The sequence below is a fragment of the Homo sapiens genome, chromosome 1, assembly GCF_000001405.40.
Source record: "Homo sapiens chromosome 1, GRCh38.p14 Primary Assembly".
NCBI classification, from domain to species: Eukaryota; Metazoa; Chordata; class Mammalia; order Primates; family Hominidae; genus Homo; species Homo sapiens.
The window spans coordinates 219,271,812-219,287,186 of NC_000001.11; the positions used below are offsets into that span (position 1 = coordinate 219,271,812).

Genomic DNA, 15,375 nt, shown 5'->3' on the forward strand with positions numbered 1-15,375 from the left:
AATGAAGAGATCAGCAATCATTTTCCCCTAAACAACTATAAAGCTGGACAAATTTGATGAAAACAATTATCCCAGCAACCTGGAAATCTTCCAAGGCAGTCTGTGAAAACCAGCAGCTTTGCTTTGCAGGAGACTGACTTTATTTGGAGTGAAAGAAGGAAGACCCACACCCAGCAGCAAATGAGAAAAGTCTGCCGCTCTCCTAGCCTAAGGTTGCAGTCCCTGTTGGGGTGTAAGTAGAATATCAGAGGGTTAGTCAGGGAGATCCTGGAAACGAGATAGTCATTGAGGGCCTTAATAAGCATTGCATACATCCTTGGCTTTCTGGAAGCTTCTACACTTATGCAGCAGAGACCTGAGAGGGCCCAGCAGAAAGAAAGAATTGGGGCTGGCTTCCAAACTGCCCAGACTTAGAATGCAACCCCCTAAACCAAACACAGATCCACAGAGAGTAGAAGCCTTATCAACTAGAGGTGTTGGAGCATAGCCTGTGACCAGTCATTGGCTGACCACTAAGCTACACAGACACAGAGATGACCCCTAAGAAGCAGGCTGAAAAGTGAAAGTAAGAATTTTTTTCAAAAATCTGAGCTGAGACGTCAGAGTAGCCATACACCACAGGGATGACAGGTTCTGCTGCTTTAGTCTAGGTTAGTTCATTTAACAAAAGAGAAATGATCTGGGCCTGGTGGCTCACGCCTGTAATCCCAACACTTTCGGAGGCTGAGGAGGGACAATCACGTGAGGTCAGGAGCTCATTACCAGCCTGGCCAATATGGTGAAACCCCATCTTTACTAAAAACAAAACAAAAAAAATTAACTGAGTGCTCATCTGTAATCCCAGCTACTTGGAAAGCTGAGGCAGGCAAATTGCTTAAACTCGGAACTCGGGAGGCAGAGGTTGCGGTGAGGCGAGATGGCACCATTCATTTCACTCCAGCCTGGGCAACGGAGCAAGACTCTTAAAAAAAAAAGTAGGAGGAGTAAACAAAAAATGCAGCAGTAATAGAAACCCTCAGCAGAAAAAAAAAAGAAAATTAGAATCGGAATTGCTGTATTATCAAAAACATCCAGTTTTCCATAAAAAATTATAAGACACGCTAAGAAGCAGAAAAGTGTGAACCATACTCAAGGGAGAAAAAAAGAAGTCAATGGAAATAAACTCTGAGAGGCCCTATAAATTAGATTTAGCAGACAGCCACTGTATTAAAGAACCAACAGAGAATATGACAATGACTCAATATATAGAGAATATCCATAAAGAAATCAAATCTGTTTAAAAGCACCAGATAAAAATTTTTATATTTAATACCATATGTTAAGATTATTTACTATATTTTGCTCTCCACATGAGCTCACTTTCTGGATAATTGCAAAGTTAAGTAATTGCCTGGAAAAGGTAAACATTTTTAAAGTTCTTAAAAGGAGGCTTAACTTACTTGACACAACTGCAATAAAATAGCAGTTTGAATCAACATACAATCTTTCTTGTATCTATCAGATGATGTCATGCAGAATTGCTAACACACACTTTTTGATGTAAGACTTTCTCAATAAACTTCATTCATAATCAGAACCCTCAGTGTGATATAATTTTTCCTAAATCTCTGAATAAATAAATAAAAGTATGTTGACTTTGATTTATTTGTGTTTTTCTTAGGCACCTAATGACGACAGCTTAGGTTAGGAAGAGTCAATTTACAGGTGTGATAGAATTAAATGGCTAATGACGGAGGAGGTGAGGCATTTTAAATTTTAAACTAACAAGCTTAATTCCTTCAATATTTATACCTTACTTTGGGCTCATGATATGCTGCTGAACTTCTGTTCCAACGTACTGTTCCTTTCTTGCATGATCTTTCTTCTCAAAAGGAATTGTTTCTCTCTGAGCAAAACCATACATTTTGTCCTCTTTCTGTGACTCCTACAGTGGTCTTTGTATGTGTTTATTTATTTTTTATTTTTTGGAGATGGAGTTTCGCTCTTGTTGCCCAGGCTGGAGTGCAGTGGCAAGATCTCGGCTCACTGCAACCTCCGCCTCCCAGGTTCAAGCGATTCTTCTGCCTCATCCTCCAAGTAGCTGGGACTACAGGTGTGCACCATCACATCCGGCTAATTTTTTATATGTTTAGCAGAGATGGGATTTCACCACATTGGCCAGGCTTGTCTCGAACTCCTGACCTTGTGATCCACCCGCCTCAGCCTCCCAAAGTGCCGGGATCACAGGCGTGAACCACCACGCCTGGCCCTGTATGTGTTTTATAAAGTTTTGCTGATGGCGTAGCTGTAAAGGAATGAAGAGAAACTTGCGTGTAGAATTTTAGCCACATCTTGAAAATGCAAAGAAGTTTGAACAAAAATGCAGTGAAGTGGGATAGTGGAGTCAATCGTTTCCGGCACTGAAAACAGCATGCCCAAATGTAGAACAGAAGGAAATCACACTGATGTAGGGGCCCAACAGCCCAACTAGTTCATCAGGGGTTAGAAGGCGTGCAAAAGGACACCCAGAAATGATAAAATAGAAGACTTCCCTCTATCTTTTAACTGAAGAAAACTTGAAGCATGAAAGAGTTTGTTTTGCTTGTTTGTTTTGAGATGGAGTCTTGCTCTGTCTCCCACACTGGAGTGCAGTGGTACAATATCAGCTCACAGCAACTCCTGCCTCCCATATTCAAGCGATTCTCCTGCCTCAGCCTCCTGAGTAGCTGGGATTACAGGTGCCTGCCACCATGCCCAACTAACTTTTGTATTTTTAGTAGAGATAGGGTTTCACCATGTTGGCCAACCTGGTCTCGAACTCCTGACCTCGTGATCCACACGCCTTGTCCTCCTAAAGTGCTTTGATTACAGGCATGAGCCACCGCCCCCGGCCAGTTTTGTATTTTTTAGAATTGAAGTGGTATTGATCAGCATATTTCAGGAAGTAGGTTCTATTTTCTATGCTGAGTTTTAAGGATTCAGTCTCTGAAAGCAGTCAAAGGAATGGATTTTCCTGACATTATCACATGAGATCATCTATAATTACTTGTTAAAAGTTTACATGCCCTCCTCTTATAGGAGGCTTTGAGAAGTGATTTTACTACTAATTATTATTATAAGTTTTATATACTATTCTTCAAAGGTAACTCTTCTTTCTTTAGTATCACCCAATCAATACGAGTTATTTTTCCTAAGTCGTTCCTATTGTCCCTTCAGTCTGATGAAAATCTTGACATAAACCTAAACGAAAATACTGATTTTTCTCAAATATGGTTTTCAACATATTCTATTCTCCTCTCTCTTCCCTGCCTACAGTTGGGACCCAAACTCCTCCCCAGCCTCCATCCAATTTTGTCTTCTGTATTTAGGAAAATTTATTGGGAAAAGAAATGCAAGTCTCTTCTGACTGATCTCACCCCACAGCAAGCTTTCCCTCATTTAAAATGTCCTTGGCCCCAGTGTCTGTAACAACTACATGGGCTCTGATTTCCTTGTGTACCGCCTAATAATTATCAGTCTTCGGGCACATCCTTTAGTCTTCCCACTGGTTCCCAAGTTCCTGGAGAGCAATGTATACCTGTACAGCCAATTTAATCTTGTATGGTGTAGACATGATGATTAACTAAATGCACAAACAAGGGAAAGACATTCATAATTTTCTATATATTCAGAAACAATAGACTGTATTATATTAACTCTAATCTATATTCTTCTCATCAAATTTTAAGTTGATTTGCCATTATCAAATGAACATATTTAACAGCAAAATCAATTTCAGAGAACATTTTCTTCTAAAAGCAAATTATAAGTCTATCACAAATATTAAAAATATTTCCATAGAGTAGAACAAGAATGTACTATTAAGGTGATCTATAGGCAAATAAAATTATATATTTCATCTCAAATTATTATTAGTGCTTTAAGTATTAAAACTTTAATATAGAGTTAAATATAATATGTAAATATATTGTAAAATTTAATATATGCTAAAAACAATATTTAAAATATTAAACTCATCTTAAGGCTCAAGATTCTACACCCTAGCTTCATTCTTTGCTCCTAAGACACTACTCTAACTAAAACAGGTCTTGCACACTTGAGCTTTATATGCTGCTACTTTTAACTACTCTTGAAAAGTGAAATTTAAGTGTTTTCTTCCAGAGAATTGGAGCAAACAAAATTAAAGCTATCATCTGTGATCTTTTACCTTGACTAGTAGAAAAGGGTGATCCTAATGTAATTATTGAAACAGTGATGATATCAAATATAAAAATAATGTTTACTGCAGCTCCCTCTGCTTCCCAGCCAGCCTTTGAAGCGAGGTAATTTCCAAATCAATTTGCCTCTCACTCAAGTCACTTCATCTTTCAGCTGGTCCCACTTGAAGAAAAAAAAACATTAATTGGACTTGCCATTGTGTCTTGGACTCTTTTGGTGACAATTTTCTGTGACAGGGTAAAAGAGTTGCTAATTCATTGCTTCAGGAAATGAAGGCCTAATAGCTTCACATCTGGTAAATTATGGCTTTCCTGCTCCTCAAGGCAGCAGCGGTACACAAGGCATTATTTGGAATTAAAGGAAAAAAAAAACAGCAAAGGAAATCAATTTTTACATTTACAGTGGACTCTTTCAAAAATTAAGATTTATAAGCCAAGAACGTTTCTTTATAAAAGCATCCATTGTCTAAGACATAGAATTGAGTCAGCCAGAGGGTAAATTGAGCAAAAACGCTTCCAATATCTTAATGGAAACTCTGAGAAGTCACTGTAGAATTAAATCATGTGGCATAGCTTTTTGCCCCTGGGGGTGGGCCATGTGTAAATTGTGCAAATGTAATGATACAGTCTTTTGGGCCTTTGGGGAATACGACAAATAAAGATTGACTTTACTTTGAGTGGGGATCATGTTGCATACTGGATGGGAAATTCAGTTTGGCCCCATTTTTACATGATGCCTAGACAGATCAGTTTGCAAAAGAAGTATGGAAAAGGAGAAGTACGGAGGAAATTCCCCCAAAGGACACATATGGGACACCGCAACCTTCTTTATGAAGAATTACAAGAGCTCGGGTATAGAAATTGAGATGTTTCACCCCAGTTATTGTCCCGATGGTAGGATTGGTGGTGAATGGCTTTTATCACATCAAGACTAAGTTGCACCATGGACTTGTGAAATTACCCCAATGACTTCCATATTTTTCCCTATCTAGTTCACAAGGAAAAATGAACAATGATAACCAAAGAGGCAAACTGCAGAATTTTAGCAGTAGATATCAGAGGTCTGGCAAAAACAAATCTAATATCTAGAAGGGCGCTGGTCCTTAGAGATGAGGGCTCTTTTTATCCTGGCAGTACAGTGACCACCACAATCACAGCGTAGAATTTACTTCCACCTAATCTTCTGTAATCCCCAATTGGAGCAATTAATTTTACAAGGGGTCATGCTCCCTTTCTGTGGTATTTCTATTGAGAGCTTAATGATGTGTCCTTTATGATGCATTTTGGCAGCACCTTTCACCCAGACCTGAAAATATTCATTGATTATGATCAGCAATTTTGGTGTTGTAAATGGGGTGTAGCTGAAGTGTTTCCTTGATGACAGAGCATAGAACAGCCTGTGCCTAGAAAGGGAGAGAGAAAGGGAGAGAGACACTGTGGGTTTAGAACTCATTTCACTTATCTAAACATGGGCCTTGTTCCATACAGATGACACAAAGAGGAACTGAAGTGGAAAGTAGAGTGTATACTAGGATCAGCAGTTCCAAGCAGAACTAGGAGATAAGGGAAAGCACCACATTTTAGGATCAGAAGCTGGAAAACAACAAGAATCTGATGGCCTCACACACTATCTTCTTTGTCTTATTCACTTTAGCCCTCAACCACTAAATGACCCATGTTCAGATATCTGCTCATCTGAAGGCATTTTAACAAATTGGCTTAAATAATTGACATATTTTTCCTAAGCTCCTCTCATCTCCTAAAACCAGGAAATTGTCATTGTGATTTTTTTTTTAAATATCAGAGCAAAGCTTTGAAAATTAATTCAATTCACTGGCTTTTGTCCAAAAACAAATCTGGGGACTTCAAATAAGTTAAGCTTTTCCAGATCCACTGTTTCCAAGGAGAAGAAGTTTTATTGTTGTTGTTGTTTAAGTATTGGAGGAGATGTGAGGGAATACAGAAAGATGGCAAACGTACAACTTTAAATATTCTACAAAAAGTTCAAACCGATCACAATTTCAAAAATTGTTTTTACATTTATTATCTCATTTTATCTTCCCAGCAACCTTATGATGTGGCCAGTGCCAACATCCTCATTTTTCACATAAGAAAATTGAGGCCCAGATTGTTGTGTAAGCCATTTTGCCAAGGATCTTAACAAAAGCAAACTAGAACACTAGAACATAACCTACCCCTGGACTCTTTTCCATAAACCACATTGCTGCTATGTCTCTTGCTCCCCTTTGTAGAGAATCAAGCCTCTTTTTGTCTGAGGACTCATAATGTGTCCCAGGCATCTTAAGTGGTACACAGAGAGAGAAAGAGAAAGGGAGAGAGAGAAAAAAACAATTTAACAATTTAGCCTTTACTATGTAGCAGGTCTATTTAAAGCCTTTATATGTAAGAATTCATTTAATCATCACAAGATTACAATGTATGTCCGGTTGTCTGGGAATATTTTACAGATGAGAAAATATCCAAAAAGGATATGGAACTTGCCCAAGTACACACAGCTCATAAGTGATGGGGCTGGGGTTTGAATTGAGGAAAGTCTGGCTCTTGAGTCAGTACTCTTACCCACTGTACTTTATTCCCTCTCTAAAGTCAGTGAAATTCTTTCTTATCTTTCTCAATATTGAGCAAAACTTTTGTCACATAAAAATCACTAAACAACAACAACAACAACAACAACAACAAAACGTTTCATGGATTGGGAAAGAAGGGCGGACACCCTGCCATCTTGTCTACTTGCCTTTTGGCCTAGGACTGGGTTTTATGGCCTCTCCAGTGCTGACATTTGGACCTTGATAATTCCTTGTTGTGGGAGCTGTCCTGTGCCTTGTAGGATGTTTAGCAGCATCCCTGTCCTCTACCCTCTAGATGCTGATAGTGCCCCTCAATTGTGATTATCAAAAATGTCTCCAGACATTACCAAATATCCATGGCAGTAGGGGTAGGGGGATGGAAAATCACCTCAAGGTTGAGAATTCCTGGCCTCGGGCATGAAAAAGAGGTACAGCCTTGTAGGGGGATTCCTTCCAGGAATCCAGCATCAAGAATGCTCCCGTGTGACTGTCTTTTCCCAATGCAGTCTGGAAAAAAGCATGAAGGGCTCGTGCGTTTTTGCCTCCTCCGCCAACAGCTAAGAGATAACACTTGTTGGGTTAATGTTCTTGCATCCAGGCAATATTCTGACTATGTGGGAAGAGGAATGTGGGTGGGCAGGGGATTTGTGACAAGGAGAGAATGGCATAGTAGGTACCAATGCTCCTATATGACTCCATGCCAGTACATTTAGCATATTTCTGAAAAAAGAAAGAAATGGGGCACGCCATCAGGTAATGGATCCAATGCCCAGATGAACTGAGGTGTGGCAATTTCCCCCAGTCAGGAGCTTACTTCAGAATAATGTTGCTTTGACGTGAAGCTGTAAGGACATTGGATGAAAACAATCCAGAACCTGCTTATCTTTCAGCATGAAAGACATTTGTGTGTTTTCTGAGTCATCTGAAACACAGAGTGTAGGATTTTCCTGATGGATAAGGAAACCTGATGTACTCATTTATTATAACAATGAGATCATTGGAAGACCCATAAAACTGAAGTCTGCTATCCAAGTTCAGATCTAGTTTGTTGTTCAGATAATGGTTCCAAGCTTATTTAACAAGCCAGTTTTGACAAGTTGAATTTTTTATAGGATGTTTGTTTAATTGTAGCATGGCCATCCTATCACAACAGTATTTTCAACTATGCAGAGAAAACCAAAGTCAAAAGGATTTTTCACAGTGAGATTTACACGTCCTTCAAATGAAAACTCTCTGAGTCATATTTTAGCCAGTCATATTTTAATTTTCAATAAAGGAAAAGACTCCAAAATATCCATAGGTGTTTCTAAAAGCCACATCAGAAAAGGAGAAAAAAAAATGGGGTAGAAGAAATTACAAATAGGCTGATATCTTTAAGAGAGCTCAAGATTATTGAAAATCTGATTACATATATAACAAACGTTTCAACTTGTTTCACCCAGATGAGGTGGCAGAATAGAATGAATATTACATAGGCAGACAATTCTCAAGGGAAGTCTCTGAAAATTTTTTAGAAGTTTATAGGTGAATGCCATTTTCATCGCTTTCTACTGCAATATGAAGTATGCAGGCTTTAGAGCCATGCTGACTGCAGTCCAAAACCCTTCTGGAGCTTCACTGAACCTCATAACTTTTCTAAGCCTCATGTCCACTTGTAAACAAGCAGATAATACGTATTATATAAAGTTTTTTGATGCCTAAAGAAGGTATTTTTAAAACTTAACAAAATACTTGAGTTGGAATAGAAGCTATTATTATAACACTATTATTCCTAATATCTTTATGACACCTCATTTAGACAACTGGATATCTGCTTTTCCAGGATTTGAATCTCCAATTTATTCCCCCCATCACGCTATATTTTTACCTATTTTTTGAGATATATACAGGTGGGAGAGGGGAGATGAAGGGATAATGTCTAATTTTTTCACATTTATTGGAATCACATTAACAATTTGCTTATTAATAATTATGCATTCTGAACAACATATATGTTTAGTCTAGGAAAAAGGGTACAAGTTGATTTCCATAAGCATCAAATCACAAATAATAACTGAACACAATCTACTCTCATATGCATTGATTTTTTTTGCCAGTTTGAGAAAACATCCATCAGCTCTTTTTAGGACCCTCTGCAAAAGGACTCTTAACATTTTAAAAAGGCATAGTAGGCCAAGCATGGTGGCTCATGCCTGTAATTCCAACACTTTGGGAGGCCTAGACAGGCAAAATACCCGAGGTCAGGGGTTCAAGACCAGCCATGGCCAACACAGCACAACCCCATCTCTATTAAAAATACAAAAATTAGCCAAGTGTGGCGGCGGGCGCCTGTAATGCCAGCTCCTCAGGAGGCTGAGGAAGGAGAATCACTTGAACCCAGGAGGCAGAGGTTGCAGTGGGCTGAGATCGCACCACTGCATTCCAGCCTGGGTGACAAGGTGAGACTGTCTCAAAAAATAAATAAATAAGTAGACAGATAATAAAGGAATGAGACTTCATTAATTAGTTTTAAAGAAGTACTCAGGGTGATTGAGATGACATTCCATTATGTTCCCCTGATTAGGATGGGCTTGGCAGTTTGATTCATAGAACACTATGTAGAAAGTATCTTTTCCTTTGGCATGAAATTAGTTAAACTGGCATGTAAACACATGCAATTAATATCTTCCCTGTCTACCCTGTGCCAGTAACTTAAAAAAATAAAAATAAAGAGAGAAAGGTAATAATTAATCTATAAAGAAAAAGACAATAGTACATAAAAGATTTAAAGATATATTTGAAAATTGGAAAACAGTAAATGAAAATAGGTAAAAATCTAAATAAGGTAAATCTAAGCACTTACTATCAAGGAAACAATAAGTGAGTTAATTCACCCTGTAAAACCCAGAAAGGCTCAGAATTGGAGGACTTGGTTTCAGAAGAAAGTGGAGTTCAGGAGAAGGTTTGGAACCAAGTTTCTCCCTCCACTGCATGCAGCCAAGCAACTACTATAGAACCACCCTCCCCAACACACACACACACACAGCAGGTGAGACTGGAGAAGGCTCTTTCTCTCCAAAAACCAAACAGGGGAGAAGTCTAGGAAGAATGAAAAGTGTCTCGCCTCAATCATACCCTCTCACCTGCTCCCAGGATGCCAATTGTCAAACTTATGCTGGTCCCTCCACACCCACCGTCATGCTCCATAACTGACAGAAATTAGATTTTTTCTTTTTTTCTGAACGGCCACTGAAAAATGTCTCTAGATAAGTATTTGAGATCCTCAATGGAAAGGGGACGTCATCCCCACAGACCCTGCAGTGATCCCTGAGAATCAGCACCTCTGCTCATAGGTACAGTAGTTCCAGCAGTATTTTAGCCACTCTCTCTTACATGCACTTGGACAGAGAAGAATGACCAGACATTAGAGGAAAATGTGCAACATGAGCATGGAGACCAAACCCCATAAAACAAACAAACAACTAGACACAGAGGACTTAGATGAATCAGAGTCAGTGCAGACATTGAAAGAAACTTTTCGAAAATCATAATGTCCTCAAAGATACACAGGGAAACAAGTCTGTAATATAGATAACAGTTACCATGAGAAAGGATCAGAAGCAAATAGGAACTCCTGTCTATAAAAAATATAAAAAGTAAAATACAAGCATTAAATAGAAAATTGTAAGATAGGGCCAAGCAACTCTCAAAAGTAGAACAAAAATTAAAGAAGAGAGAAATGGGAGGGAAAAAGATAAGAAAAAATATATCATAGATCTTGTGAGCTCTCCAGCTACTAATTAGGAGTTCCAGAAAGAAAAGAGAGAAAATGAAGGGGGGATATTATTGAATAAGTAATTTAAGACATTTTCAGACTGAAAGACATGTGTCTTCCCATTGAAAGGACAATGGAGCACCTAGCACAATGAATGACAAAAAAAAAAAAAAATTCCAGGTAGGTTATGGTAAAATATAGAATACTTGAAATCAAGAAAAGATCCTAGAAGCTTCCAAAGGGGAGGGGGATAACACAGTCAAATACAAAACAATGGTCTTGAATTTCTTAACAGCAACTGAATCTTAGAAGACAGTGGAACAAAGCGTGAAAAATTCTGAGTGACAGTGATTTTCAACTGAGAATTCTATTTTTTTTCCAAAAAAAATCAAATATAAGGGTAATGCATTTTTTATTTAAAATAATTTTGTCATGTCAGAAATATAAGTGCTTTAGAAAACAACATAGTAAACCAACAAAGAAAATGCAAAAATTGTTGTCTATCTTATGAGAGATGAAGGGAAGGTTCATGATTACAGCAGAGTGTGTAGTAGGTCTAGAGAATTATCCACCATAAAGGAATGAAAGTTATCATTCTAGGATGAAATTATCCATCCTTTTCTTGGTGGGGCTCTAAGAAAGAGAGAAGTGGGGGCTGAAGAGATGAAATGAATGTGTTTGAGTGAATGGATTATTGATAGACCTATGGCAGACATGATGAAATGTTTGGAAAATAATTACTACAAGGCAGCACAGAGTGTTGGAGTGATTTCTCCAGGGCCACACATCTAGTAAACAATGGATCTGGGCTTATAATCTAGCTCCATATTTGGTGCTCTTATCCGGCACCCAGTAGGACTTTTCAAGCACGTGACAACAGGGCATGTTCTTTGCCATGTCATTTATGATGTAACTTTGATTATAATATAGTAAAAAGAAAATCCGGGTGTAACTTTATTGAGAGGTACTGTTTGGGATGGGGGCAAAGAAACAAATCTTCATCATCCATGCCTAGAATTATCGATGAAGAAATAGCAGTGCATGCATATGATTCACAAACGTGGAGCTAAGTACAAAGGAGAAGCAGAGCAGTTTAGCGTATTTGCCTCTGGGGAGCAGGACCCAGGTGTGGAAAGGGATGGAAAGTGGAAAAATCTATTTTTCCTCATAAGCTGTTTCGTGCTAGTTGAAATTTAAATTCTACCCTCATCACTCTGGCTAAAATAAAATTAATAATATAATATTTTAAAATTAAAGCACAGCATTTTTAAAAGAGATATCATAGTGACTGACAATTGCCTGTACAGCCTTTGGGCAGAGGAAAGGCAAAAAAAAATTTATTAGGAACCATAGAAGCATTCAAGTGTTAGGTCACTGTAAGCATTCCTGCCATTTTTAACTAAAAAGATTGTATTGCTGCATTTGTGATCTGTGGGTAGAGACTTAGTCATTGAGTCAAGGCCTTGTACAGATCAGTTTGATCTTGTTCATATCAGAAGAGGGAGGAAGCAGTGGGTAATGTAGATGTTCTATGCCTGGGCACTAGTCAGGCATTTGAGACTCAGAATGAAATTGTTCTTATGGTGATATGGTTTGGCTCTGTGTTCCCACCCAAATCTCATCTCAAATTGTAATTCCCACGTATGGAGGGAGGGAAGTGATTGAATCATGGGGATGGTTCCCTCCATGCTATGTGCATGATAGTGAGTAAGTTCTCAGGAGATCTGATGATTTTGTAAGGCAGTTCTCCCTGCTCTTTCTCCTCTCTCTCCTTCTGCCATGTAAGACATGCCTTGCTTCCTCTTCTGCCATGATTATAAGTTTCCTGAGGCATCCCCAGCCATGCAGAACTGTGAGTCAATAAAACTTCTTTCCTCTATAAATTACCAGTCTTGGGTAGTATCTTTATAGCAGTGTGAAAACAGACTAATACACATGGCTTAATGAGCAAAAGTCCTGATCACCAGAATCATTAGAGATCAAACAATCCCAGAGGAGCACTCTGCCTCATTCATCGTATTCAGAAGAATGAATAATAAGTAATGCAAAGGAAAAATGCTTGAGGTGATGGATACCCCATTTGTCCTGATGTGATTATTACACATTACATGCCTGTATCAAAATATTTCATGTAACGCAATAATATATACACCTACTATGTACCTACAAAAAGTAAAAAATAAATACACAAGAAAATATTAAATGGATTCTCATAGTAAATTAAAAAAAGAAAGAATAAGAAGTAGCAGCAACTATACATATGCTACATATATGCCAAGCACTGTTCTCTGTGCTTTTTTATGTATTAACTAATTTAATTTCACAACAACTCTATGATGTAGGGACTACTGTTACTGTCTTTATTTTAAAGATGCAGAAACTGATATCAAAGAGATGTTAAAGACCTTCCCATGGTCCACAGGAGAGTTGGGGCTGGCTCCCAGGCCAAGCTCGTAACCTTTCCCTGCCTCCATTCCCCAACTCTCCTCTGTGCCACTGCACTGGTGGTGAGACAATGACAACAGAAAGCAAATTGGATTGAATCCTCTATAAAGAAAACTAATGCATTTGAATATGAATTTTAACCCAGGTAGTGATCAACCAAGAGAAAAAAATGGCCCACTGAAAATACTAACATGAAATTAATGGTAATAACACTTAAAAATTATACAGTGGTAGTGTCTACACAGTTAAGAAGGCAAGCAAGACTAAAATTATTATGTGGAAAATTCAGATTAAAGAACTCACCACAAAATTAGTGGAAAATTATTTAAAAATATTTGTCATGAGTAAGTCTTCAGTTGTAGGTTTTCCTTAAGGAAAAGAAATCAACTTTATCGATAAAGCACTTTTCTCATCTTCATCTTTAAACATACAAACGAAATCAGAATTAAAGTAAAGATTAGCTGAAAAACTTACTGTTTTGACTAATGAAAATTTCATTGGTGAAGGAGATGGACTGCTGTATAATACAATGTTAACTGAAAGCACTCATAAAACACTAATTGCACTGGAAATAAATGAGAGGTGCTTCACATGTGTTTATATCACTAGAGGGACACTAGCACAGGGTAACATTTAAAATATCTAACACATATTCACAATAGCCAAAGGTCGAAACAGCCCAATTGTCCATCAACAAATGAATAAAGTGTTATATCTGTGCAATGGAATATTATACAGTCACAAAAAGGAATCGAGTACTGACGTATAGCTACCACATGGATGAACCTTGAAAACACTATATTAAGCGAAAAATGCTAGACATGAAAGGCCACATATTGTATGATTCCATTTATGTGAAACGTCCAGAATAGGCAAATCCAGAGAAACATAGTAGATCAGTCGTTGCCTTAGGGTCTGAGGGGAGGTAGGAATGGAAGATGAATGCTAATTGGCATAAGGTTTTCTTTTAGGGGCAATGAAATTGTTTTGAAGCTAGATAGAGGTGGTGGTTGCACAAGTGAGAGAAAGTACTAAATATCACTGAATTGTGCACTTTAAAATGGTCAATTTTACATTGTAATATGTGAATTTCATCTTTTTCTCCTTCCCTTCTCACATATATTTGTGTATACACACACAAACACATTACTCAGAGATAGAAATTAGAGACAGAGATAGAGATAGAGATAGAAATAGAAATAGAGCTAGAGATATACACACACACATACAAAACAACCAGCCGCAGTGCATTTGGAGGGCTGCAGGTCCCACAGGCAAGCAGATAACTGAAGCTCTTGGGGACTAAATGGCCACCAGGTACTGGCCCTCTAGAGTTCCAGGGATGCAGACTCTCCCACTGGGGAGCAGAGATATGGGGATGGTGCATGACAGTTGCAATAGGCTGGCTAGTGGCTTCCTTAAAGTGACAAACTAGGGGGTTCCTAGGGCCATGAGATCATTTGGGGACTAGAAGCAGGAGCTATTTACTAATTGGCAAGTTACTATTTTAATATTAAACAACAAGCACAATATTGATGAATTTCAGTCCTGATTGGAACCAAGCTCAGTTTAAAATTTCAAAACAAACAATCTATCATCCTTGCTCGTATGATATGAAAACAAGCACAATTTCATAGCAATAGCTATCCCTGGCTTGCAGAGGGGAGGTCAGTCAAGGTCACTAAGAAAAAAAATAAAGATGCTTTCCTTTAAAATGCTTTCTCTCTGAATTTTGCAGCATCCTTATGTAAAATGCATTCTAGCAAATTAGGAGTCTCCTTCCCTGAATGAAAACAGAAGCTGCCAGGCCTCCTAGGCACAGGCTGAGAGTGGGACAGTGTCACTGCTGCTGCATCCCACTGGTCAGAACAAGTTACATGACACTCATCTCCTCAAGAGCTCCATCAGAAATTCTGAAAAACATACTTGACTTCTTCTGCACAGCCAGCTTCAGCTCCACAAAAACAGCCTTTGGCTTTTGCTCCATAAGATTTGCCTGTTCTCCTCTGTATGGTGACAGTTGCAACTCATGATCTTGATTTTCATGGCCCATCATCTCTGCTTTTTGACAGTTTCCTGTAATGGTTTGCTTTCACTTTTTTCCATTCACATTTTTACTTCTTCCTTGAAAAAATCTGCATGGAATTGAAGCTAGGGAATGGTATGGAAGGAGGACACACAATGAGAGAAAAACACACTTTGTCATCTTTCCAGTTGAATGGCAGGATGGAGTAACAATAACACATCTACCATGCATTTACTCAGCTAGGTTAGTTCATCATTTTGCTCCTTGAGGTATCGGTTTGGGTTTTTTAACTCAGAATCTCTGTAGAGATGATATTGGCCTCAATCTGATACCTCTAAAACCAAAACAATCCTCTTTTTATCCGAA

The 15,375-nt window shown here is 38.3% G+C and overlaps 1 protein-coding gene across 16 annotated transcripts in view; it reads left to right on the forward strand.

Moving 5' to 3' along the window:
• The window catches only part of LYPLAL1 (lysophospholipase like 1), a 271,619-nt gene that overhangs the window by 97,934 nt on the left and 158,310 nt on the right, over nt 1-15,375 (forward strand). The window lies entirely within an intron of this gene.